Source organism: Homo sapiens, chromosome 2, assembly GCF_000001405.40.
Source record: "Homo sapiens chromosome 2, GRCh38.p14 Primary Assembly".
Lineage (NCBI taxonomy): Eukaryota > Metazoa > Chordata > Mammalia > Primates > Hominidae > Homo > Homo sapiens.
Genome location: NC_000002.12, coordinates 201377207 through 201404312, shown reverse-complemented (window position 1 = coordinate 201404312; position 27106 = coordinate 201377207). Strand labels below are relative to the sequence as shown.

At 36.1% G+C, this 27106-nt stretch overlaps 1 protein-coding gene across 3 annotated transcripts in view; it reads left to right on the top strand.

The window, feature by feature from the left end:
• The window catches only part of TRAK2 (trafficking kinesin protein 2), a 74252-nt gene extending 47146 nt beyond the window's left edge, over window positions 1–27106 (top strand). For 2 of the 3 annotated variants that reach the window (NM_015049.3, XM_047445578.1), the window contains exons 4-16: window positions 3219–3295; window positions 4820–4936; window positions 5959–6168; window positions 6733–6811; window positions 8869–8999; window positions 9441–9515; window positions 11267–11404; window positions 14433–14512; window positions 14810–15013; window positions 16312–16610; window positions 17829–18095; window positions 20097–20202; window positions 23095–27106. In NM_015049.3, the coding sequence (NP_055864.2) occupies window positions 3219–3295; window positions 4820–4936; window positions 5959–6168; window positions 6733–6811; window positions 8869–8999; window positions 9441–9515; window positions 11267–11404; window positions 14433–14512; window positions 14810–15013; window positions 16312–16610; window positions 17829–18095; window positions 20097–20202; window positions 23095–23770 (2459 nt within the window). In that variant the 3' untranslated portion in view covers window positions 23771–27106. The remainder of the gene's footprint in view (window positions 1–3218; window positions 3296–4819; window positions 4937–5958; window positions 6169–6732; window positions 6812–8868; window positions 9000–9440; window positions 9516–11266; window positions 11405–14432; window positions 14513–14809; window positions 15014–16311; window positions 16611–17828; window positions 18096–20096; window positions 20203–23094) is intronic. The other variant, XM_047445579.1, reaches the window with a different exon arrangement.

Sequence of the window (27106 nt, the reverse complement as noted above, 5' to 3'; positions counted from 1 at the left end):
AATTTCTGTATCATTTAACATATTTTCAACAACGAAAACTGACGGGAAAATAGGTTTTGATAGGATTGATTTTAACAAAGACAACCTGCTTGGCTACCTCTACATTCCTGGCTACAGAATTATGGTGAAGAACTAGTCTGTGGTTTTTGAAGCATTTAATTACAATGTCTAAATGCCAAGACTTTAAACACTTAAGAGTTTTGCCCTGAGTACTTTTGGAATCATTCCAAGCAGCATGTCTTTATCAGGAGTATTGTGTTAAGGAAGAGAAGACAGAACTGATTCCACTGCAGAGAGAAAAATCCATTGTTCTTTTCCATTGGAAAAGGAAAAATCCATTGTTCCTTTCTGTTTTGTGCCTGACATCTTTCTGTGCAACTGAAGAGGCCCAGCCTTTGTGGATTGGTAGTATCTAGGTTGCGCATTCGACATAAGAATTTGAAAATTCTGATTGCACTATCTAACTTTTTTGCCATAACAAATACTTAGGCATTTTAAAGTTCATTTTTGCTTTTTGAAACTTTTTAACAAAGGTTCCTGGGTTTTTGTGGGTTTTTTTTTTTTTTCTGTTTGGAAAATAACATTTGTTCTATGGAAAACTGGCAAAACGCTGAAAAGAAAACAGATCAGCCATAGTCCTTACCCAGAGATAACCACTATTAACATTTTAATGTATATCCTTTCAGGCTCTGTTGAATATAGATATTTATAGATATGCTCACACTTTAAAAAGCAAAATTGGGATCTATGCTGTTTTATTATATAACATGCATTCACAGGTGTATATGCTGGTATTTCATTAGACAAGGTCTTTTTTATGTTCTTAGTGGGGCTGCGGTAGAAACAGCAGCACAGTGGAAAGAGCTCATTACTGGACTCTTACATCATCTGAGTTTTTTCTAATGACCTTGTGAGATGAGCGTTATTATCATCTCCATACTAAAATTCCAGCTTTGCCACTAATAGCTTTCTTCGTGGTCTTGAACATGCCACATAATTTCTCTCAGAGAAGATTCCTCATACAAGAAAGTGAGATCATTAAACTAGATAACTTCTTAAGGTTCAGCTTTAAATTTTTATGCTGTGACAGATGGTAAGCATTTATAGGAAATATTTTTTCATTTTTCCTCACTAAAACATATTTTATTCTAAACATTTCTTCACTGTATTACTGTGTCCTTCATTTTTTTCTTCCCCTTTCATCATATATGACTTGTGGTTCACAGTTGTTTTTATATCCTTAACTTACTGGTCTTACTCCAAGTTAAATCTGCCACTTCATCTTTAACTCTGGTCAGTCATGTCATGTGTTTGTTAAACTCGTTGTATAAAAACTGATTTTAACTGAGCCTATAGGATGCCTGATTTTTGCTTTGGGTGTTAACCCCAGATTGGTGGTTTTAATTCCTGGCTCCAGGTCATTTTCAACACCTGGGAATCTTCTGCATACTACCAGCGCCACAGGGCTCCCTGAAATTAATTAAATCGGAATCTGGACTTAAGAGCCATTGCTCTATATTACATTTGGGTTTACAACCATTGTCTGGTTTTCTGTAATTAGTTTAGAGCATGGATATATTGATTTTATATTTTTCCCATAATTTTGTTATTGAGACCAGAAGTAAAGGAGACCATTCACTGTAAGTATTTGCCTTAATTATTTAATCCTTTGTTCCCGCTATGCTACCAAATTATATTGTGTCTATTCCTTAGGCCCAAAAGTCTGCTTCCCTTATCACTGTGGTTAAATCATTGTTAGTTTCTCTATTTGTAAATATAAATTCTTTTGGAGTACAAATGTTTATTTCTAGCTTTTAAGAAAAGTTTTTATATTTTCAGTTTAAATCTTTTTTAGTTATCTCCAATACCATCAAGCCAGCACTTTGTTTTACTTTTAACTAGGAATAAGGCTATTATTAATAATTAAGCTATAGGTAATTCCCAGATTCATTTTAGTCAGTGGTGCCAGGGAGAAAATAAGCTCAGATAAAAGTAAAACATATCTAATGATATCCCTTCATACTCAGTCGTGGGCACCCTAAAGTGTTAAGATGGGACTATGGAACTATGAATTACTGCCAATTCAGAGAATTTAAAGTCAGAATCATTTCATACCTACCAGTTCTGTTTAAGGAGTAGTAACTATAAACAGTTATATGATACGTAGCAGTTAACGAATACTTTATTGCTTAGTAGATTATCATGTTTGATCCTCTTAATAACCTCATGAGATGTGTTATCACCTCCATATTTATTATCTGAATCTCAGAAGGGTTAAGTGACTTGTTCCAGCTCACTAAAATTTATGAATTCAGCTTTTCTACTCCAAAGCCCCTGTCCTTTTCACACTTCAAGGCAAACTAGTTATAATAAAAGAGTCTAAGTCAAACACAGAATTATGTTCTGCAGTAACGTATCATGTTCAAAGTCAAAAGAGCCCTCTTTTGTTATGCATTATTAACTTTAAGATACTGTTTAGTGTGACTGGAATCATTGGAGTCATATTTGCCCTTCTCTTTTGAACTAAATTATCCAGGTACATTGACAATTCCTGAACTTGTGAAGTGCAGAAATACAGGGCTTGAATTATACAACTAATAATGTAGCATACAATTTATTTTATAGCTGAGACCTAGATGGGAGAAAGATTTTTATACAAGTAAAGGGTTTTTAATTAAGCCTAAAGGAATTATGGTTCATAACAGAACCAGAAAAAGTCCTTCAAATCCTGTTCCTTGTTTACATTAGCTCACATGGTAGATGATCATAGATGGTTATGATAATCACAGCAGAATTCCAATTAAATTCCTTTATAACAGCATAACCCCTCACTGATACCCCTTAGTAACTTTAATTTAGATTAGACTGTAAAGCAATCAGTAATTTAATCCATTCTCCCAGCCAAGATTCTCATAAGTGAGTGGCCAAACTTCCTGTCTTACCAGGGGAGGAGGAGATAGTCAAGATGTGACTGCCTTTTGATCATTTGATACTTTCTTAATTATTGTGTGGTATACACTTCGTTTGTAATGATTGGACTATTTCTTGAGTGTCTAATACATGAAACATTTCTTTTTTTTCACATATATTTTTATTCTCCTGAATGACTTTTTGTAAAAGGCTGGGGTTTTTGTTGTTGTTATCTCTCAATTCTTATTAATATTTAAATTTTTTCATTATTGCTAAAGCCTATAAATAGTTGTTTTTAACTATATTAGTTCTAGGCACAGACAGGGTGGAGCAGATGACCAAAACTTACAATGACATCGACATGGTTACACATCTCCTGGCAGAGGTAGGAATATCTTTTCTTTCTCCAGTACAAAAAGGTAAAACTTGAGGATCATTTGGAATCTATCAAATTTGCACATCAAATGGAAAATGTTGTACGTGCTCTGGGTTATTTTGTATAAGGTTGTTGCTACTGGAACAACTGACATTTCAAAGTAGAATGTTTCCTAAAGTTTATTATTGTAATGCTATACAGGATTTTTAGTTATTTATTTATTTAATGGTGTTGACTTGCCTCCCCTTCCTAGAAAAGCATTAATCTTAAAAAAAAAATCATTTTAAAATAATGCCTGCTGTTACTTACTCTACAGCAGAGCTGCCCATTCAGAAAGCAGTATCATTATCATTGCAAATCAATACCTGCAGTTTGGAGCATCTCCCCTTTTTTACTTTTAGTTTGGGCTGTGATTTGAGCTCACTTTGTCTATGGCATTTTTAATATGTATAGTGTATCTCCTCTAGTTGGCAATCAGTAGAGGTCTCCCTTTGTACCTGTTTCAGTTGATCTTATGGAAGACAGTCTTTCTTTAACATATCCTTCTCCCCTCTCCCCCCAGCTCTCCAGAATGATTTCTATGTATGCCATTTAGCGATTATTTAAAATGAGCCTTAAAAATGTGGAGATAATCCCTCCATTTTCATATGCCTATGGAGAGAAAGGATAGAAGCTTAATTTTATTTATATAATAATTACTGTAAGCAGATCATATATAAGGCAGTGAGATGTATATTGACAGTTTTCTATCCTATAGAATACAGTCTTCACCACTACCACACAGATGGAATTCCTATGCCCTTGCGAAGTATCACTATCTGCCCAGAAATAATAACTCTGGGTGGAAGCCTATTGCTTGACTTTTCTACAGACTTCCCTGCATTACCACCAGCTTCTTGAGACTTCTTTCTTCTCTATACTCTAGGCAGAATCCTGTGGCCTCAAAATTTCCAGTCTTTTATCTCCTGTTTTATTTCATATCATCATTCTTGAACCAGTTGACAACAGAGCTCTTGGCTGCACTTCCCTCTAAGCTGCTGAATGCACATAAGCTTTGCCCTAAATGGAACTCTTTTTTTACATACGTACCTGATCCATATCTTAAATACCTAATTCTGTATCATTACCATGCTTGATACACAATTGCTTTCAACAAATATTTGTTGAGCTTTTACTGTACAGACCCTATCCTCATTTTTAAAGACTATGTTGATTTTCCAATTCCCCAAAATTGTAAGTTTAAAGTTTGGGTTGCTAGACTCTTAATTTACTAGGATGATCAATAAATCTCACTTGATATCAAGAAAAGAGATGTCCTCTTGCATTTAGAACAGTGGTGGTCATCCATTTGACCAACGTTTTAAAGCACTACCTGTGTGCCAGACCCTGTGTTTATTCATTTTAATGAATGAATGAATCTTGATGCTTTCTAGGACGTTGCTTTTGATTTTACCAAAACTGACCACAAAATTTCTGAACTGCCATTTAACCTTGTTTATACTCAAAGAAAAGGTGTATTTGGTATTTTAACAGAGGGATCGTGATCTGGAACTCGCTGCTCGAATTGGACAAGCTCTCTTAAAGCGGAACCATGTCTTATCTGAGCAGAACGAATCCCTGGAGGAGCAATTGGGACAAGCCTTTGATCAAGTAAGCCTTTGATCAAATGTCTGCAGTATGAAATAATTAGGTTTTATGCAATTGAAAATTTATTTTCCTAGGTGTCCCTGAAATGATGGCAATAGATAAATAACACCAGTACTTGTTCACTTTGTTGGTGTCCATTAAACTAATCAGTAGAGAAATTAAATGTTAATTGTACAGAGGAGAACTCACGTAACTACCTTGGTCAACTTAAAGTCTATATTAAGTATCTGTAATACCTGTGGCACCCTGCTTAGATATTAAAACTATCCATACCCTTTTGTGTAGACTTTGTGTGTGATCTTATCTGAAATTTATTTTTAAAAAATAGGTACCCAAATATGTGGGTATCTTTATTCAAAAACCAAACAAAGGAAGAAAGTAAAAAGAAACTTTGAAAATATATTTATTCTATAGCAATAAACGTTTGTAGTGAGAACTGACTTATTATTAACTTGGATGGTTACATTTCAAATTTTCTGTAACTTGTTATTTTTATCTGGTTTCGTTTGTATTTTATGAATGCATTATGGATGATAGCATTTGAGCCTTTAGGTTGAAACTATTTGTTCCGAGAACTAAAATCAGTACTCCTAGGAAGACATGCACAGTGATATACATCTTAAAATTACAAGCCCTTATGATAAGAGTTTGAAGTAGGGATCTATTCTGATACTTTGAAGGTTCTTCAGTTTTGTCATGTTTTCAACTATGAATGTATTATTATCTTACGTGAATTTTTCTCCTATATTCCTATCATATATATACAATAAGAAAATTAGCTTTTCTTCTCACCTAGGAGGGAAAAAAGCTGTACTGTTGAATTAATGCTCTAAAATTGTAACTTAGGAGGTATCTGGGGTTTGTTATTCTCTTTTTAGTACTTGTTGCGTTAGTCAGTAAAACCTAGCAGCTGATTTTGTGATTTTCTTTTGTGATGAAAAATAATTGTTCCATGAATTAGAAGCTATATTGCTATAAATAATGCAAAATAAAGAACATGAAAATCAAGCATTTTATATGGACAGGTTAATCAGCTGCAGCATGAGCTATGCAAGAAAGATGAGTTACTTCGAATCGTCTCCATTGCTTCTGAAGAAAGTGAAACTGATTCCAGCTGTTCTACACCTCTTCGGTTCAATGAGTCCTTTAGCTTATCTCAAGGGTTGCTGCAGTTGGAAATGCTGCAAGAAAAGCTCAAGGAACTGGAAGAAGAGAATATGGCTCTTCGATCCAAGGTACGTTCAACCTAATTGCCATTTTCCTTTACTTTAAAGGCTATAAAGTTCAGGTCCAGGTACTATTGAGGTGAAATATGGCATAAGTAAGGATTTGCTATTGGCATTCCAATTAGAGAGTCGTGGACAAGGAGCTGTATTTTTCTTGCCTTCCACTGTTCTTAGATCCCACTGAAAAGTGGATAGTAGCAGGTTGACAGTACAATAGTGAAAGTCACAGGATAGAAAATGTATCTTGTGGAGTTTACGCAAGTAACTAAGTAGTTACAACTGTGATAACTTTTACACAAGTAACTAAGTAGTTACAACTGTGATAAGAACTATCTCAGAAAATCACAATATTCTGTGAACTTGTATAGTATGGGCATCAAGGAAGTCCTACTTAAGCAAGGATCATTTTAGCCAAGGCCAGGGATGAGCCAGGTAGAGATGTATGAACAGGTTGTTGGGTTTTTTCCTTTGTAAGTGATGAAATTTAGTCTTCAAATGAGAATTAAAGGTTTTTGTAGTTATTTCTATAAAATCACTAGAAGGTATTGTCACATACTGATTTTTTTCTTGAAGGCTTGTCACATAAAGACAGAAACTGTTACCTATGAAGAAAAGGAACAACAGCTTGTCAGCGACTGTGTTAAAGAACTTCGTGAGTATTAACATATTCTCTTTTGTACCTTTTTGGACAATTCTTTGGTAGGGTATCTCCACCTCGGAAGTTAGATCACTGGTTTCAGTAGAAGCATCTCAAGAAACAATTTTAAATGGTTACTGAAAATCTTAGAATATCACATTGAGCCTACAACCCTAAATAAGATACCATATGTATTTTTAAGAAATATATTTGTTTCAAATTGCAATTATCATTACAGACCTATGTTTTGTAAGTAAGTTATAGCATGTTAGAGTGAAAGGAACCAAAGCTCTCATATTGTTGATGAGGAAATAGTCCTGTAGAGGAAGATGATATGCCAAAGTCAGAAAACTGGTAAGTGGCAGAGCCAGGGCTTAAATGATGGCATAAAACCTAACAATCAATGAGTATAAAGTGCCAGTTATGTTTCTTTAAAGGAATGTGTTTTAGTTTGAGGTAATGTTAACCAATTTTTTAAAACAAGTCAGTTGGAAAAAGATTGGCTTCACTGGAGAAAGATAAATTTAATTTCTCCATAAATACAACAGTTGTCCCTTACCTGCAGTTTCACTTCTCATTGTTTCTGTTAACCGTGGCCAACTGCAGTCTGAAAATATTAAATCAAACATTCCAGAAATAAACAATTCATGAGTTTCAAATCGCGAACCATTCTGAGTAGCGTGATGAAATGTTGTGCCATCCTACTCCATACTTCCCAGGATATGAATCATCCGTTTGTCCAGTATCTCCACGCAGTATATACTACCTGCCTTCAGTCACTTAGTAACCATCTCTTAGTAGCCGTCAGTTACCAGGTCAACTATCGCAATATTGCAGTACTTGTGTTCAGGTAACCCTTATTATACTTAGTAATGGCCCCAAAGTGTGCTGATATATTGTTATAATTATTTTATTATTAGTTATTAATCTCTTACTGTGCCTAATTTATAAATTAAGCTTTATCATCGGTATTTATTTGTAGGAAAACACATAATATATACAGTATAGAGTTCAGTACTATCTGTGGTTTCAGGTACCCACTGCAGGTCGTGGAATGTATTCCCGACAGATAAGAGGGGACTACTGTATATAGCCTTTTACATTGAAAACAATGATATGAAAATATCACATCAATTCATTTGGGCTATGGGCTTCAAAATGTGATATCTTAGAATAGCAGAATACTAGAGAACCGGAAGGAATGTAAATTGAATTTTCTCCTCCACCATGAAAACATTACCCACCTTTTACACTTTAAAATACAGGAAATGACTTGCCCAAGAGCTCTCAGATCCAGATCTCCTGCCTGTGTATCGCCATCCTTTGAAATATTAGAGGCTATCTGTCAATTTTAAAATAGCTTTACATGACACTGAGAAGTAGCTTTTCTGCTTGTATTTACATGTCAAATTTTTCATATGAGATAGAGAGTGAATAAATTCCTAGTGGAATTCTAAAGGCTCTATTTTATGTGCATGTAAGAAGGCCAGGCTATAACAATTGCTCTAGAGGCTTTACTCAGTTTGCCACATATCCCTGAAAGGGGTATGCCAGAAAGTCTGTCTCCTACAGAAGCATTTCCGTAGCTTTATCACATTCTGTTATAGATTGTGACTGTTCCATTCTGGAAATGTTCCTTTGTTAGATTTGTTAAGATTAATTTTCATTGCTTGTGGGATTTTATGTCCCTAAAGAGTTCTCAAAGAAATGAATGAGATTATCTCTTTGCACTTGCCCTCCTTTCAGCCTTCTTTCCTTCATAAAGAAAAAGATTGAGCAAATATCGTTTTCATAAAGAAAACGATTGAAGCAAAACCTTTAGCCTGCTTGCCTTTATAAGTCGTCTCTCTTTTTAGCTTCATTGTCTCCTATTCTGTTCCCAGCATTTGCCTATTTCAGAAGAACTTTTATTTTTCTCTATTGGTTTCTCTGGATTTTTTTTTATGTTTAAGAAAAATCTATTCACGACAGTCCAGTGCTTGTTATAAAACAAGATTTAGCTCACAAGTCATAGTTTGCCAACTCCTTCTCTACATTTGTATTAATTTAAAAAAATTTTTTTTGCTTCCAAGGTGAAACAAATGCTCAGATGTCCAGAATGACTGAAGAATTGTCAGGGAAGAGTGATGAGCTGATTCGATACCAAGAAGAGCTTTCCTCTCTTTTGTCACAGATTGTAGACCTTCAGCACAAACTTAAAGAAGTAGGTTTATTCATTCATTCAACAGATATTTGTTAAGCACTCACATAGTATCTTGCACCATGCTAAGTGCTAGATACAATAAACAAAATAAACATTGTCCCTGCCCTTTTAAAATGCCCTAATCTGATTGCTGTTTTAATCATCTTTATGTCATATAAGATATCATGAATAAATACTTTCAAGTCATTATTTCTCTTTGTAAAATGGGGTTAGTGCTTCCTCAGAAAGTGGTGTAAATTATTGACTCATGCCCATTGTCCTCTGAACACCTTGATAGATTTTGTATTCGAATGCCTATCTTATTTAGCTTTTGAAAGGTTAGCTTTTTGTAGGCTTTAAGATGATACCCCAGAGAGAAATTCTTCACATGTCTTTATAAGAAAGAGAATAGCTATATTTTACTTGGAAAGGCTTCACATGTCTTTTTTAATATGTTGTTAGCATGTGATTGAGAAGGAAGAACTAAAACTTCACCTGCAAGCTTCCAAAGATGCCCAACGGCAACTGACAATGGAGGTAATGAAATCTTTATCTTGTGTAATTCAGGAGGGGAAAGAGTGACTAGTTTCTTTCATCTTCATGAATAAGAATTATTAAAGGGGAATTACCAGATTTAAAAAACAACAACAAAAGGTTAAGATGATATTATGAGATCTAAGAAGTAAAGCATTTTGGCTGGTTGTGGTGGCTCACGCCTGTAATCCCAGCACTTTGGGAGGCCGAGGTGGGTGGATCACCTGAGGTCAGGAGTTCAAGACCAGCCTGGCCAACATGGTGAAACCCCATCACTAATAAAAATACAAAAGTTAGCTGGGCATGGTGGTGGGCATCTGTAATCCCAGCTACCCAGGAGGCGAAGCAGGAGAATCACTGGAACCCAGGAGGTAGAGATTGCAGTGGGCCCAGATGTGCCACTGCATTCCAGCCTGGGCAACAAAGCAAGACTTCGTCTCAAAAAAAAAAAAAGAAAGAAAAAGAATAAAGCATTTTAAAAGTCCTGTCCCTAAAACTAGTAACGTGGTAACATCCTTCTTGATTAATAGGGAAAACCTCAACTTTATAAGATTCTTTAGGAGTATATCACTCTTTTACCAGCTGACCTAAACTAGCTCAACAGTTTTTAAAATAAGATAAGTTCTAGTAGTAAATCTTTGTGCAGGTGTGTCAGGAGAAGAAGCAAAAAATCTCTTACTTTCTATCTACATAAAATTTTATTTATTAAATATAACTTAGTGATTCTTTAGCATGCATTAGTATCACCTGGAGCCAAGCACAGTAGCTCATGCCTGTCATCCCAGCACTTTGGGAGGCCAAGGTGGGAGGATGGCTTGAGCCCAGGAATTTGAGACCAGCCTGTACAACATAAGGAAACCTTCGTCTCTACAAAACAATCAAAAACTTAGCTAGGTGTAGTGGTGCACGCCTGTGGTCCCCGCTATTTGAGAGGCTGAGGTAGAAGGATCACTTAAGCCCAGAAGATTGAGACTGTAGTGAGCCATAATCACACCACTGCACTCAACCCTGGGCAACAGAGTGATATCTTGTAGGAGGGAGGGGGAAAGAATCACCTCGGAGAGCAAGTTTTAAATGGCGATTTCCAGGCACCATCCCAAGAGCTTCTACTTCAAGTGGTCTGGAGTGAGAGCCTAGAATCTGCATTTTTAATAAGCATCTTCAACCCTGGTGATTCTGATGAACTGGGGCATATACTGCACTTGAAGAAATTTTACAGTTAAAATATACTCTGAAAATTATGTACTCTTTTATCAGATGTGTATATCTAGTTGTAAAGAAGGTTCTGAAACAAGGCACGAAGATCTACTTGTTTAGGAGGATTGAGCACACTGACATTGTATATAACACTTTGTAGGCTCTTGATCTTGTCACTTACAGACTTCAGAGTGATGTTTAAAAAGATTAATATTATACTAAACCTAACTTGACTGTAGCTGTTATACTTCCTCTGTTAAGTGTATGAAGCATTCAATATTAAATTGACAGTTCTGGTAGTCTAGCTACGTTTCAGACTTTCAGGAAGTCACATCCGTGTATAATTTTGGCCAAGACACCCCTCCCTAATTCTGGTAGCTCAATATATATATATACGCTTCTTGCTTAGTTTGTTTTAGTCTTTGTATTGAAATGATATTCATAAAGTTAGCTAGCCCTCTGGGTAAAATCAATACTTATCCCAAAAGGTTTCGGGTTTTTTTTCCCTAATGTTGTTTTGGGAAGGCAATAAAGTACACTACCATCCTTTCTTTTAGCTGCACGAGTTACAAGACAGGAATATGGAGTGTCTAGGAATGTTACATGAATCCCAAGAAGAAATAAAGGAACTTCGTAGTAGATCTGGCCCTACTGCTCATCTCTACTTCTCCCAATCATATGGAGCTTTTACTGGGGTAAGCAACTAAGAAAGATGCTATGTATTTAAAGAAATTTGTTTAAGATTAGTTTGTCCTAAAAGTTTGATGGTTTATGATGGTATAAAACATCTGGAGAAGAGATTTTTTCCTTGTTTCTGGACTCCAATTATTGATTTAGGCCCTAATTTGTATATTGACATCTTCCTTAATACTCTTATTTATTCTAACAGGTGACTTTCCAGATATATTGTATCAATAATACATAAGATGAGCCCTAAGGAAATTCAGTTTAGGACTGTGTACCATAGAACTAGTTAAACTTGGGTCATCCTACCCTAGGCCCACAGCCTGCCACTTACTTAAGTGGTGCTTTGAATATCTAAAACCTCTTTCAATAAATCTTGAGTCTCCTGATATTTTTAACTTGTTAGAATGTAAGCTTCATGAGAACAAGATTCATCTTTGTTTGATTCATTTATAAATGGTATTTTTGTATTAAAAAATTAATAAAAACTTCTGAGTTTATATTAGAATTTGTAATGTTGGTTCAAAGAGTTGTTTTAACAATCTGATTCTTAAACTTCTGTGCAATCCTGTGAACTTTTTTAAAAGACTGAAACTATACATTTTAGTAGATTTTCTTAAAAATAGGGAGGCATAATTTTGTTTTTTATGTTTGAAATAATTTTAAACTTAGAGTAAAGTTCCAAGAGTAGTATAAAGAATTTTTGTATATCCCTCACATCGATTCTTCAGTTTTTAACATATTATTGCTTTTGCCATATCATTCAATCTCTCTTTCTCTTTCTTTCCCCCTGGGCTATTTTAACAGTAAGTTGCTGATATACCTTATTACCCCGTAGTACTTAAGTGTGTATTTACTAAAAACGAGGACATTTGGACACTCTTAAGGACACTGTCCTACATAAACGCACTACAACCATCAGCATCAGGAAGTTGATGTTTATGCAGTATTATCATCTAATCCACAGAGCCCATTCAAATTTTTCCAGTTGTCTCACTAATGTCCTTCAAAGGATACATTGAATTTTGTTGTTTCCATCTGGGACAGTTCTTCTGTCTTTATTTCTCTTTCGTGACTTTTGTAGGATGTCCTCAGTTTAGGATTGTCTGATGCATCCTCATGATTAGATTCCAGTAATGCATTCTTGGCAGAAATCATGCCATATTCTCAGAGCATGGTTTCAAGAGGTGCATAATGTCTGTTTAGCCCATTGCAGGTGGTATTAATTAACTTTGATCTCTTGGTTAAGGTAATCTGCTGGTTTTTTCCACTGTAAAGTTAACGGTAATTAACAGTTAATTAAATTAACACTACTAATTCACCGTGTAGTGATGAAAATCGGCAGATACTACCCCAACCAAGTGATCAAAGTAAACATTTTATGAGAGATACTTTGAGACTAAGTATCCTGTTCCTCATCAAACTATTACCCACTAGTTTTAGCACCCATTGATGGTTCTTATCTGGCAGAGTTATTACAGTGATGACTGCCAAATGGTGATTTTCAAATTTCATCATTTTTCAACATTTATTAATTGGCATTTTTCTTTTGTAAGTTAGTGCATTCCTGTCCCATTTATTTGTTCATTTGTTCACTTAGGTATGTCATGGACTCATGGATTTCTATTTTATTCAATAGATTACAAGCTATTGTTGTATATTCAATCTGTATGTAGGATATTCAGATTGTCCTAGATATGATCAGTAGGATCTCCTTTAAGCTGATCTTGTACTTTTTGTCTCAGCCCTGGAATCAGCCATTTCTCCAAAGAGCTCTGGTTACTTTTATTGAAGAATTGTATTTCGAATCCAAGATCTGGGTGTTAGGTGTGCCCATTGATTGCTACTAGAGTATTGTGGCTTCTAGTCCCTCTCAGCAGGTAGGACTAGGAAATATATGTATTTCATACCTATACCTATACTATATATGTGTATATATATGTTTTCATCCATATATATATAAATATATATAATCATGAGTTCACACCATTGCCTCCAATTCCAGTCATCCTCAGCTGAGTCCCACTGAGCATGTCACCCATATTAGTTGAGTCCTCACCCCTGACCAGAGGAAGAGGAAGCTTGCTTTTTTTTTAAATGATTTTTAATGTTATAAAAGCTATGCATGTTTATTACAGAAAAGTTGGAAATTACAGAAAAGCAAAAAGCAATCGTTAAATACCATTAAATTCCACCCTCCACAGAATCACTGTCAACACTAGATTTAGTCCTCATCCCTGACTGGGGGGAAGAGGAAGCTTGCTTGTTCTTTTTTTTAAGTGATTTTTTAATATTATAAAAGCTATACATTGTTTTTTGTTGGTATTTTTGTTTTTACTTTTTTTTTTTTTTTTTTGAGACGGAGTCTCGCTCTGTCACCCAGACTGGAGTGCAGTGGTGCGATCTCAGCTCACTGAAAGCTCTGCCTCCCGGGTTCACGTCATTCTCCTGCCTCAGCCTCCCGAGTAGCTGGGACTACAGGCGCCCGCCAGCACACCCGGCTAATTTTTTTTTTTTTTTTGTATTTTTTTGTATTTTTAGTAGAGACAGGGTTTCACCATGTTAGCCAGGATGGTCTCGATCTCCTGACCTCGTGATCCACCCACCTTGGCCTCCCAAAGTGCTGGGATTACAGGTGTGAGCCACCGCACCCGGCCAGCTATACATGATTATTATAGAAAAGCTAGAAATTACAGAAAAGCAAAAAAAAAATTGTTAAATACCATTAAATCTCACCCTCCACAGCATCACTGTCAACACTGGGTTTATGGCCTTTCAGACCTTTTGTTTTTGTGTGCCTGCACATATATTTTCTATTTATCATATCAGCTTTTTCCACTACTTTCCTATTTGAAAAGATTATGAAAAGGTAGTTGGTTCTTATTTAAAAGTTATATTTCCAGAATGTCTTTTTTCCCCTGAATGTTAGCCTTGACTATTTCCTTGTATTTTATTATAAAACCAAAAGTATAGGATTGTAGAGACTCTGTTAATTTAAGGGCAACAATCACTTTAGAAATCTCAAACTCTTTTTCTTAGGAATCTTTGGCAGCTGAGATTGAGGGGACTATGCGTAAAAAGCTGAGTTTGGATGAGGAATCTTCTCTCTTTAAACAAAAGTAAGTACAGGTCACATGTGTTGTTACTCAATCATTGGAATAGAAATTAAAAAGAAGCCACAATCCAAAGTGGCAAGTATTACGAGATTCAGTAGTAATTTGCTTACTATTCAGTGTTTTCCTCACAGTGTCCTTTTTTTGTGAGAGAGTTCTCTTGTTTGAAAGCTTATTTTCTGATGATTTCTCCTAAATAGCTCCTCAGGGTGGCTTTATTTCTGATGGACTGCACATACATTCTCTTCTCTAGATGCTTTAGTGGCTAGCAGTGATAATAACGAACACTTCCTTTTTTGACAGAGCCCAACAGAAGCGGGTATTTGATACCGTCAGGATTGCCAATGACACACGGGGCCGCTCTATCTCATTCCCAGCTCTGTTACCCATTCCAGGCTCCAACCGTTCAAGTGTCATCATGACAGCAAAACCTTTTGAGTCTGGTCTTCAGCAAACAGAGGACAAATCACTCCTGAACCAGGGGAGCAGCTCAGAGGAGGTTGCAGGGTAGGAATCCGATGATAACAGTGATTCTGCATTTCTTTTCACATTGCCGCACCAGATTCACATACGCACATTCCAGCATTACTCTACTGTCCCAAGAAGGTTCTGGAACTGTCAGTTTTCCTTCACTTATGATGCCTTGTATCATTATTCATGAGACAGATCATGCCAAAGTCAAATTTTTTTGAATCTGTTTGGTCACTAGCATGAATACATCGGATGACACCTTCTCATAATCCGTGCTCATAATCTCAACCGCTTTGGTGATTTTTAGGATAAATGTAAGTTTGAATACATCTTGAGGACCATCGAGGTGCTGTCGATTTTCTGTTTATTTAAACTTGGATTTTTTTTTCATTCCTTTTATTAATTCAGTACATTGAATTCTATATAACTAGAAGGTAAACAACTTTACTGAAAAGTGAGCTGAAAGCTTTGCAAGATAGATGTTTGGCACCAAAGGGAAATGTTTCCTAACATAAAAATTCATCACACTAGGTTTCAGTTGCATTGCCTGGTCTGTCCTGGGCAGTGTTCTGCACCCACAGCAGCTTTGTGTCCTACTGCCTCACTGTCACACAATTATCTTAGGAGAAGATCTGAAACACATTTATGTGGATTTATACCCCAGTATCCCAGAGTACCCACAACTCAGCTTGCTGATCTTCCATTTGATATCAATTATAAGATAGCTTCCAGTTTCAAAAGTGTTGAAGTCAAAAAATGGGCATCAGACAACTATAAAAATGCAGTATTATATACAAATTTTGTTGTTTCCTTTTAAATGTTCTGCAGTGTTGATGGGTGATTCTGTGACCCAAAGCAAATTTTTTTCATATTTTAATATTTTTTAAATTATTATGTTTTGTAACTGATAGTATGCCTTAGTTTAATCCGTAGCGTTTTTTTCCTTCTTTATGATACATAAAATAATGGTACCTCTTGCAATCTATGATACAGATTCAGCAAAATATAATATTTACTTTCGTGACCACCTAATATGAATTTATAGATGGTTGAATGTGTAGTTTCATAAATTAAATGAAATAGAAAATTCAGAAAACACAGAATATCAATAAAGTATTATCTTGCCTTTCAAGTCATTTGCAATGATCTGTAAAAATGATATATAGTGTTGTTGGTGATTTTGGTTTGTTGTTATTACTTCTATATTCCAGGTATCTAGGAAAATATCATGTTTTTAATATCAGTCTCTTGAATGCTTACCATTATAGAAAGGAGAGGTCTGGGTCATGCTGATGATCCTCAAGATCTAATCAGTGAACGCGATTTTCCTATAGGAGCTCCCAGAAGATGGGCCAACCAGGACCCTCAGGAGATAGTGATTTGGCTACAGCACTGCATCGCCTTAGCTTGCGTCGACAAAACTATTTAAGTGAGAAGCAGTTCTTTGCTGAAGAATGGCAGCGGAAGATCCAGGTTCTGGCAGACCAGAAGGAAGGAGTTAGTGGCTGTGTCACCCCGACAGAGAGCCTTGCCTCTCTCTGCACCACCCAGTCAGAGATCACAGACCTCAGCAGTGCCAGTTGCCTTCGAGGTTTTATGCCAGAAAAATTACAAATTGTCAAGCCCCTTGAAGGTAATAAATCAGTAAGGGCCCTTACTAAGCCATGTGACTTACTGGAAGTTCCTTTCCCTGGAATTGAGATTTGTGTCTTAATTATAGGAACATTATGTGCAGATGATCTTTTTATCCCTTAATCTTGCTGTTTGGGTGGCAAGACTGTAGTACTTTGTGGAAAATTAATGAATGAAGAGAGTTGCATTCTCTGAATCATCAGCCAGCAGTTCTCTTCTGATGTTTTTTAATATAAACGTGAGCAGGGAAGAGGAGTAATCTTTTTCTGTCCTTTGCTAAGGAATATCATTGACAGCAGTTTCCATGGTTAGATGAATAAGATATGATAAATGATAATGATCTAGAGATAATAATTCATCTCCACCTTCCTTTTCAAAAGAGTTTTTTACCCAAAAGTATAATTGACTTAGAGGTGTGTGTGTACCTGTATTTTTCCTTTTTTCAGTTTAGTTTCTATACTCTCCTAAGAAAGAGCTTGAATTCAAAATAAATTCCTTCATTTTCTGGAACAATGACAATCATTGAATGATTCTCTGATATTATCCTAAAAGAGTTCTGCATTAAATGAAATTTTGAGTGTGTAACTTATAAAGACCCCTCAAACTCAAAGATTTTATAACTTAGTTGTATTCATTAATGATCAGTGCAGATATTTGTTGGAGTTGCCATTTTTAGGATGAAATGACTACAGTGACATAATTAGACATTGCATCTGGTGCAATTACTTGGGATGATCATTCACCAGGGTTCTGTAGCCTGGAACCAGTAGAACATATCCTCCTTTTCATTATCTTCTTCATTTTCCTATTCTCCCTGGGAGCCTGGCTTTTGACTTTCACCTTCATAGGCATAGTTCCAGGCCAGAGAAGTATTGACTTTTTTGTCACCTGGGAAAATACAGCCCACCTCTTAGGCACGTATCTTCCATCACTGCCTCAGCAGCTAAGCTCCTTTCCTATTAAGGGTGTCTCCTTGGGTTTTTTTTCACCCCTTTAGGTGTCCTCCTTAACTATTAAAACAGATTATGACTCATACCTTTGACATCTTGTCATCTTCCACTGAAAACTTTAATTTGCAGCTTTTACCAAATTATTAACACCAAATAAATAGTTTTATTGCTGTCATTATTGTTATTACACATATAATTTTAGCTTGTGTTTTAAGATTTGTGGGAAATGTAAAACATGCCTTTCCCCTTCCTTTGTTTTGCATATTCAGGATCACAAACTCTGTATCACTGGCAGCAGCTTGCTCAACCAAACTTGGGAACCATCCTTGATCCACGACCAGGTGTCATTACTAAAGGCTTTACCCAGTTGCCCGGGGATGCTATTTATCACATCTCAGATTTAGAAGAGGATGAAGAGGAGGGTATTACTTTTCAGGTTCAGCAACCTCTTGAAGTGGAAGAGAAACTTTCAACATCCAAGCCAGTAACAGGGATCTTCCTGCCACCCATTACTTCAGCAGGTGGACCAGTTACAGGTGAGAAGAGTGTCTGGTTGAATATGGTATAATAACCAGAAGTACTTTGCATTCTGACTTACTAGACAGTCAGCTGGCTACCTCTGCTCACTGGAGGGTACTTAATCTTGCATATCAGATAATGAAAATCTATAGCATTAGTGGCATTCCTAATTCTCTCCACTTTATCTTAGCCAGCCTGCGTTAGTAGATTGGGTAGAGAGCTGGATGAATTCAAGTCAGTGGTTCACAAACCTTTTGGGCTCAGAAACTCTTTATACTCTAAAAAATCATTGAGAATTCCAGAGAGCCTATCTGTGCAGGTTATATCTATTGACATTTAATATATCATAAATCAAAACTGAAAAACCATAAAAATATGTATTAACTCATTTAAAATAATTGTGTTACACAAATATGTTTAATGAAAAATAGCTAATTTTTTTACATAGTGAGAAAAACAGTTGTTCAAGTCTCTAATTTTTGACTTAATACAAAATAGCTTTATTCTCATTATCAGCATCTGCCTTCAGTCTATTGCAATATGTTGTTTCAGTTGAACAATATGAAGGAAATGCAGCCAGGCACAAACATGCAGTTGGAAAGAGTGTTTTAATAGTCTTTTCAGATATGTGTAGCTATTTTTTGATATTACACTAAAACTAGGTAAGTAGTAGTTTCTTGAACGTTTGTAGCAATGTGAGATCTGAAACCCTAACAATGAACTTTTCATTACTTTGTTAACATTAAAATGCATTGGTCAGGCTGGGTGTGGTAGCTCACACCTGTAATCCCAGCACTTTGGGAGATCGAGGTGGGCAGTCACCTGAGGTCAGGAGTTTGAGACCAGCCTGGCCAACATGGTGAAACCCTGTCTCTACTAAAAAAAAAAAAAAATTAAATTAAATGCATTGGTCGTATCCTACATTTTGAATATATCTTTGAGCCATGCTTGATTTTTAAGATCATGCGTTGGTCATTTAGAAAATGTTGATTGGTTCATGGAGTTATGCAGATTTTCCAAATATTGGCACATTTTATTACGTAAAAATATTAAAATCATATTAATATCACCACCTACTCATCAGAAAAGTCTTCAAGGATGTTCATGCTTTCAGTGGTGGATACGAGTTTTCCAAAACTCACTTTTTCTTGAAAGCTCACATTTTGTTAGCTGTTTTTCTTGAAGGACAGGCTCACTTCATTCATTTTTAACATGTCTGTCTTTCACCCAAGTCTGAATTACTATAGTTTGTCTGTTAGTTCTTTCAAGTAAAAATGGTATTCCATGAGAAAATTTCAAATCAGTTGCACAAGTGTTTTCCTCTAGATAACCACTGTATCTCAGTGTGCAGCAAGAGTGCTTAATACATCCTTCCCATTTTTCATCACACAGAACAGGAAAAAGACTCAACGGCCAAGATCCAAAATTTAATAGATAATTTTTACTGCTACTTCAAGGACATTCTTAAGTGAATATGGCTTTTTAAAAAATACCAAGTGCATAACAATAAAGAAGACTAGTACAACTTGGTGATATTGCCTTGTTTTGTGCTGAGGAGCCATCAATTTTGCCTTCCATTGCTTTTGCACCAGCAGTGCAAATGTCAACCCAGTCAAAAAGAAAAGGCCTCTGTCTTACCATTACTATGAAAGTAGCTTTGACATGTAGACTCCCACAGAGTCTGCAGACCACACTTTGAGAACCACTAGAGTAGATAAATTTGGCTGAATCATTTGGATACTAGATCTTGATTTTTTTAATGTATTTTTTCAGTTTTCTCATTTCTAATCTTTGTTTATGCCTTTTGCTTTACAGTTTTAAAGTATTGGATTCACCTATATACTAACCAGTTGATACTAGTACAATCTTTATGTATATTTATTTCATTTCCAGATTTGGGGATTTTTAATACAAAAGGTACTTGATAAATGCTATATTATTAATAAATAATGATGAGCTTTTTACATTATTAATCTAGACTTTCAATCTTGTATTTGCTCCCTAAAAATCTATTTCAGTTGCAACCGCCAACCCAGGAAAGTGCCTGTCGTGCACAAACTCAACATTCACTTTCACCACCTGTAGAATATTACATCCCTCTGACATCACTCAGGTTACCCCCAGGTAAGAGTGCCTGGGAAATCTGGGGCCTCACTTCTTTCCTCAGCTATATTTTCATGAATTTCTTTTTAAAATTACCTTCATTTTAATTTCCAGAATGTTAATTAATGTTCTGTGATAATGTGTCTTTAGAATATTTTCACATTGCATTTTCTCATTTGATTATTAAAAAAGTAGGCAGGGCAAGTGAGTATGTATTGTGTAGAGTAAACTGAGGCATGGAAGGTTGAGGTGACTGGTCCTAGGGCAGACAACTAATAAATAACGCAGCTGGGGCAATATACCCAGAGTTAGCCAAACTGCAAGATTTACAGGGCCAGTCCTCTGCACAAGCTCACCTTCACTTCTGACAACACCTGCAAGTGCAGAGGGTTCCCAAAACCACTTTCAGGTTCAGCAATTTGCTAGAAGATCTCACAGAACTCACAGCAAGTTGTTATACTTGTGGCTACTGTATTACAAGGAACGAATACAGGTTAAAATTATCCAAAGGAAGAAAGGCATAGGGCAGAGTCTTGGAGAATTCTACACGTGTCCTTAGGATTCATTACTCTCCTGGTATTGATATGTGGCAGTACACACAGAATATTACCAACCAGGGAAGTTCACCCAAGTATTAGTGTTTACAGTCTGTATTGAGGCTTCATTGTGTAGGTATGATTGATTGAACTCAGTTCAACAGAGTTGAACTCAGTCTTCTGGCCAACTGATACTGCATGACTCAAAGGCCCTACCCTAAATCACGTGGTTGGTCTTTTTGGCATGGCCATTCCTCACCCTAAGACTACTGGGTGTGGCCTGGCTCACCCTAAGATTTAGTGTGATCAGCCTCCACTCTAGCCAAAGACACTCCTATTAGTTGTGACATAGATTGCCTCCAAGGAGCAGAGGGCAAAGGCCAGACCTCTCTGGGCAAGGCCAAATTATTTACTACATAGGCTAGAACTTGAATATTCTAATATATAGTCCCTTATTAAGCCATATTGATGCCATTTCTATCCTAACAATTCCCAAAAGGATCTAAGGTAGCTTTTAAAGATATGTAGAACATGTAACAGTGTACAGTTACTGATGTGTTTGTTGCCTGTTCCTTTATATTTACCAAAGATAACTACTATAATTACTTTAAGTGCATTAAATAATAATGTTAACTAGAAGTAGAAAAGAAAGATGTTGCAAAGGGGAATCAAGAGTAAGGATATAAAATGGGTAAAAAAAATAAAGCTAGTGTGCAAATTGTACCATAAAGTCTTATGTTAGCCATGTTAGCTTGCTAAGGTTAGCCATGTATTTGAGTCTTAACTTTCTAGCTGCCAGTGTGGAGGGAAATAAGATTATGATCCACCATGTCTATAAAATAGAAACAAATGGATTATTTACGGAAGCATTTGGATGATATCCACTAAAGATCCCAATAAAGTCTGTAACAAAAAAAATCTGCATTTTTTTCTACATTGTTCTTATAGTCATCAAGATAACAAGTTTTACAAAATTGGTTCTTGAGGAGACTCTTAATACAGGTTGATGCCATTATATGAAGTGTACAGTTTGGGTAAGGACAGGCAGTTCTAGAGTCTAGTAGAAATAGGGAGATTTAGAGACTGGGAATACAATATATAGACTGTTCCATATCAGAGGCTTTTAGTTGGACTGGTTTGACCAGGGAGTCAAACTCATTTGAATTTTGCTGTTCCTATACAAGTTGGTGCTTTAGAAAGTTTGTTAATTTTAAGCTTACATTTTGTTCATAATCTTTAAAATTTTTGATATCTTGATATTTAATATATTGAGTATTTTATGTTGAAGTGAAAGTTGATCTATTAAATACTGGTAACATTTGTTTTGCAGGGAAATTGGCTAAAGAAGTACCATCTCTATTTCATCACTGTTTCCTCAAGTACATGATTCGTTAGTTTTTCTTTTCGACTAAGCATAGAATAAGAATTTTCTCATTTGATTATTATAAAAGTAGGCAAGGCAAGTATGTATTGTGTAAAGTAAACCGAGGCATGGAAGGTTGAGGTGACTGGTCCTAGGGCAGACAACTAATAACCCAGCTGGGGCTATATACCCGGAGTTAGCCAAACTGCAAGATTTACAGGGCCAGTCCTCTGCACAAGCTCACCTTCACTTCTGTATATTCAGTAGTATTACTGAATACTGAAGTAATACTGAAGAAGTATTACTGAATAGTTGTCGAAGCTATTAGTTATTTTTAATTTCCTAAAAACACATGTTTCAGGTCAAGGTTGAGAAAAAATTCATCCTATGGATATTTTTATACCATTATTGTTTGAAATTAACATTTCTTGAGAAAATGAAATTTAACAATTAGAAGTTTTTATTTCTCAATGAAATAAAATTAAAAGATTAAAAAGAAAGAAACTTCTCCCAGAAGAGTTTTCATGTTTAATTGTGAAAGATTGTATTTTTTTAAAAGTTGGTAAACTGTTTACCCATGGATTATTGTCTCAATGTATCTCACTTTATGGAATGGATATATGAATAAACATTCTAAATTACTTTCCTTAATCTTCAAATTTCTTTGCCTTCTATCATAAAATTTAACTGTATTTCTACAGATGTACATTTTAGAGTTAAAATTTAAGAGTAAAGTTATCTAAGAGTACAGCAATACCTTTCATATCCCACTGAAAAGAAATATCTTTTAATAAGTTAATTACTAAGTTATGAATTACAAATAATTAATCATTGAAGTATCATGTCAAAATTTTCATTCCCCAGATCTGTTCCACAGCATACAGTTACGGATGTGTTTGTTGCCTGTTACTTTATATTTACCAAGGATAACTACTATAATTTCTTTAAATGCCAGCTTGGAGCTTGCTTTTTATTCTTAAACACTGTCTCCCACTTTTTTTTTTTTTTTTTAAGCTCTGGGTTCCCTTCATTATCCTGTGGAAGTAGCGGTAGCAGTTCATCCAACACGGCTGTGAATTCTCCTGCCTTGTCCTATAGACTCAGCATTGGTGAGTCCATCACCAACCGACGAGATTCCACTACAACCTTCAGTAGCACCATGAGCTTGGCCAAACTTCTACAAGAGCGAGGCATCTCTGCCAAAGTGTACCACAGCCCAATTTCAGAGAACCCCCTCCAGCCTCTCCCTAAATCCCTGGCTATCCCTTCCACACCACCAAATTCACCATCTCACTCACCTTGCCCTTCTCCTTTACCCTTTGAGCCTCGAGTGCATCTCTCTGAAAATTTTTTGGCCTCTCGACCAGCTGAGACATTCCTCCAGGAGATGTATGGCTTGAGACCCTCCCGGAACCCTCCTGATGTTGGCCAGTTGAAGATGAACTTAGTGGACAGGCTGAAGAGACTGGGGATAGCCAGAGTGGTCAAGAACCCTGGTGCCCAAGAGAATGGAAGATGCCAGGAGGCAGAAATTGGTCCTCAAAAACCAGATTCTGCTGTTTATTTAAATTCAGGTAGCAGTTTATTAGGTGGACTAAGGAGGAATCAGAGTCTTCCAGTCATAATGGGTAGCTTTGCTGCCCCAGTTTGCACATCCTCACCCAAAATGGGTGTCCTGAAGGAGGACTGAGGTTCAGCAGTTAACTGACCTTTTATACAAGTTAGCACATGAAGGATAGATATGCACTGAAACATGTGGTCTGGTCTGACTTGAGAGAAAAGGAATGTTGCACAAGGGTTGTGAATGTGAAAGGGGGAATGGAGGAATGGAAATAAAATTGGGATGAGCCCTAATGGAGGAAGTCGGGCAAATTGAAAGTATAAATGAATGGGCCATGAGTGTTCAGAGGGAGAAAAGAAAGGTTTAATATACTCCTTCAGTTGAGTTTTCTTGTCTTGAACATAAAAAGTGAATACAAATAAATTCAGTAATACTAAAACATACAGAGATACTGAACTTGCTGGCACATTTACTTCTGGTAAGCATAAAGCAGAGAGAACCCAGGTTAGAAGGATGGGAAGAGAAAAGGAGCAGTTTTATTGCTTATAGAAAGCCGTTCTGAGGGGTTGGTGGGGTAAGCTCAGTCTATTACTGAGACAATAGTGAGATGGCTTATATGTTTCCCCTGTTAATATCTGGTTAAATTATGTATCCATCAAATGGTATGCTCGCAGCATTAGCAAAATTAGGAGTTTCATCTTTTTCATTGAATCACAGGTGGAGACTCCTATTTTCCTTTCTGTTTTCAGGCCTTTGAGCCCCTGGGAGCCCAAATACCACTCAATTATTTTGTATTTATGATTAATAAAAGTTCATTTTTTAAATTTGTATTTTTATACAACCTCCAAAAAAAAAAACAACTGGGTAGAGGGTGGGAGGGATTTACTTTTAAGAGGCAAAATGTGAGTAAATTGAAACCAAGAAAACTTGTTTTTAGAATATTTCGTCTGAATAAGTACAGTAGCCAAGGAATACAAACATAATTGCATGTTTTTAAAAATTCCTTGGAGGCTGGAAGGGGTTAAGCCAGAAGTGCAATCAATAGGAATTAGGGAATGTTGTATATTTATATATGTAAACTTTTTTTGTAAGAAAAGTTGGTGACAACTAAACCAACTTTTTCCAAAGTGCGCTATGCATATTTTTAATGAAAGATGACATGTATTTGCACAAAAATTCTCAGGCACATTAAATTATTGTAAACTGAAGTAAAACCCGGGTGCTTGCTTTGAGATTGTGGTTTTTTCTTCCTAATGTAAAATAAAATAAAACACATCTGCCTTCTTGATATTTATAGAATTAGAGAATAAACTTTTTAATGGGGGAGTCAAAGCTTTTTCTTTTTCTCTAAGGTTCTTTTTTTTTATTCAAACTGTATGAAATGGCAAAGTGAGGCTCTGGGGTTAGATTTCAGCATTCAGCAGTTGACACAGGCTAAGAAATGGAAAGAAGTAGATCTGTTTTTTCTCAATGTTGCTGAGCAAAGTCTGCTTCTCATCAGATGACGTGGCTTTGTCTAGACAGCACGCAGTTCAGAAAGAAATGTCTTTATACAAAAGACATGATAGAGAAAAGATGAGAGAGGGGACTAATTATTTTGTTTATGAAAATGGCAAGTAAATTACTTGATCTTTTTGGTGCTTAATTTGCAAATGTTTTGTTCCTTTGTCCTGACTTAAAGGCAGTTTTCTGAAGAACTCTTGACTCTTGCTCCTATGGTTCCCATAGGCACACCTATTCCCAGGCCAAGGAGAGTCCTTCCTCTCCCCTTTTGAGGCATCCCCGCCATCCCCCCACTTAGAGCTATGTGCTCAAAAAGCCAACATGAATGCAGTGGTAAAAATTTGTTAGTTTCTTATACTTTTTAGAATCTCTCAATAAAATTTTTCTAAATAAATTCCACAAAAACAAAGGGTGAAGATGGTCTCTCCCTTTCGTTCCCCTTCACTCAGTTGTGCTGAGGTCAATAGAGTGTAGAGTTTCAGAAAGGATTCCAGCAGGTTTATATGTGAATATAAGTGTCCCTGAATGGGGCAGGCATTAAATAGAAGAATCCCTGCTGTTTAAATTTCCCGCATATTCCAATTCACTTTTAAAAAATACCATTTGAATTTGTATTTCATAAAGTGACTCTGGGGTGCTTACTTTAGTCAATTCTTAAAATTTTTTATTTGTTCCCTAAGAAAGTAATTACTGTTTCTGTTGCCTGGACAGTTACAGTTTCCAGGAAACATCAGGAAGTAGGAAACTGTAGGGCCAGAGAGTAGTACAACGTTAAATTGTCCGATTTATGTGTATTACTTAAAGCTATAAATTGAACTAGATCTTGCCGTGCTCTGTATTGAGTATAATTTGTATACTTTTTTATAATTAATGACTAAATGATCACTTTGGAGGCAGGGTGGTGGGGGTGTATTAGCAGCCAAATAAGCACATCTGATCAAAAAGAACCAGGCTTAGATTTTTTTTAAGTACATTGATGTTGATGTTCCACCAGAAACACCTTAAGTGTATACTGTTGTGTAATGTCTCTAGAAAGGAATCCTGTCTTAAAACTGGGTTTTGCTGTTTTTTGAAGTTTCTACCTAAAATCATTTTTGGTATATCCTGATAATCTCTATAATACTAGAATTGTCTGCAAAATATAGTAAGAAGAATTGGAGCCTAATAGCTGATTCCTCCCAATTTATCTGTTATGTTTTGTCACTATTCACATTTTAGTCTTTTCTACGATAAAAATTGTATGTGTACTTTCATGCCAGTATAGGAAACCTCAATCTTTTTTTTTTTTCGCCTTTAAGAAGGTTTTCAGTGATTATACCTCAGGTATTTCTGAGTGTCCTATTGTCTAATAGGAGAAATATCTTCCCGAGCTCAGAATTAAAAGTTCTCCTAAATTATGAAGATCCCAAATCTTATGTAAATAACCTTAGGCATGAGTCCTTAGGGAGAAGTTAATGACCATTGTTAAAGTGCTTTTTTAGAAAATGTTGTGCTGTATGTTCTTGATTTGACATAAATGAATAGACTTTGGCAAGGGAGGAAATAAGTTAAAAGGCAGCTTACAAGAGCCTATTCCCTATAAAGGGTATAATTTTACACAGTACTCAAAGCTTGTTATCTTTTCTGACCATTTTAGTACAGAATTAGTACTTGGTGGTTACTAACATCAACTTGTGACATCTAGAACTAGGGCTCTTAGTGTTTAGTGGGCCACTTCTCTGATGTCAGATGCATGCAGACCTGTACTCCACATGCAACCCAACAGCAGTGCAGTGTGATAACTGAGCGGTCGCATGGCAGAGGACATCCCCCTCAGAGTGGGCACAAGTGCCCTCTAGGGCAGCCAGGGGAATACTATTGTTCGATACCTGGGATTTGACTTTGTCAAACAGCTCTTTGTGCCCCTATCTTTGTTTTGTCAAATGTAGATCAGTTAATAAACATGAGTAGCTTGAATTTTCA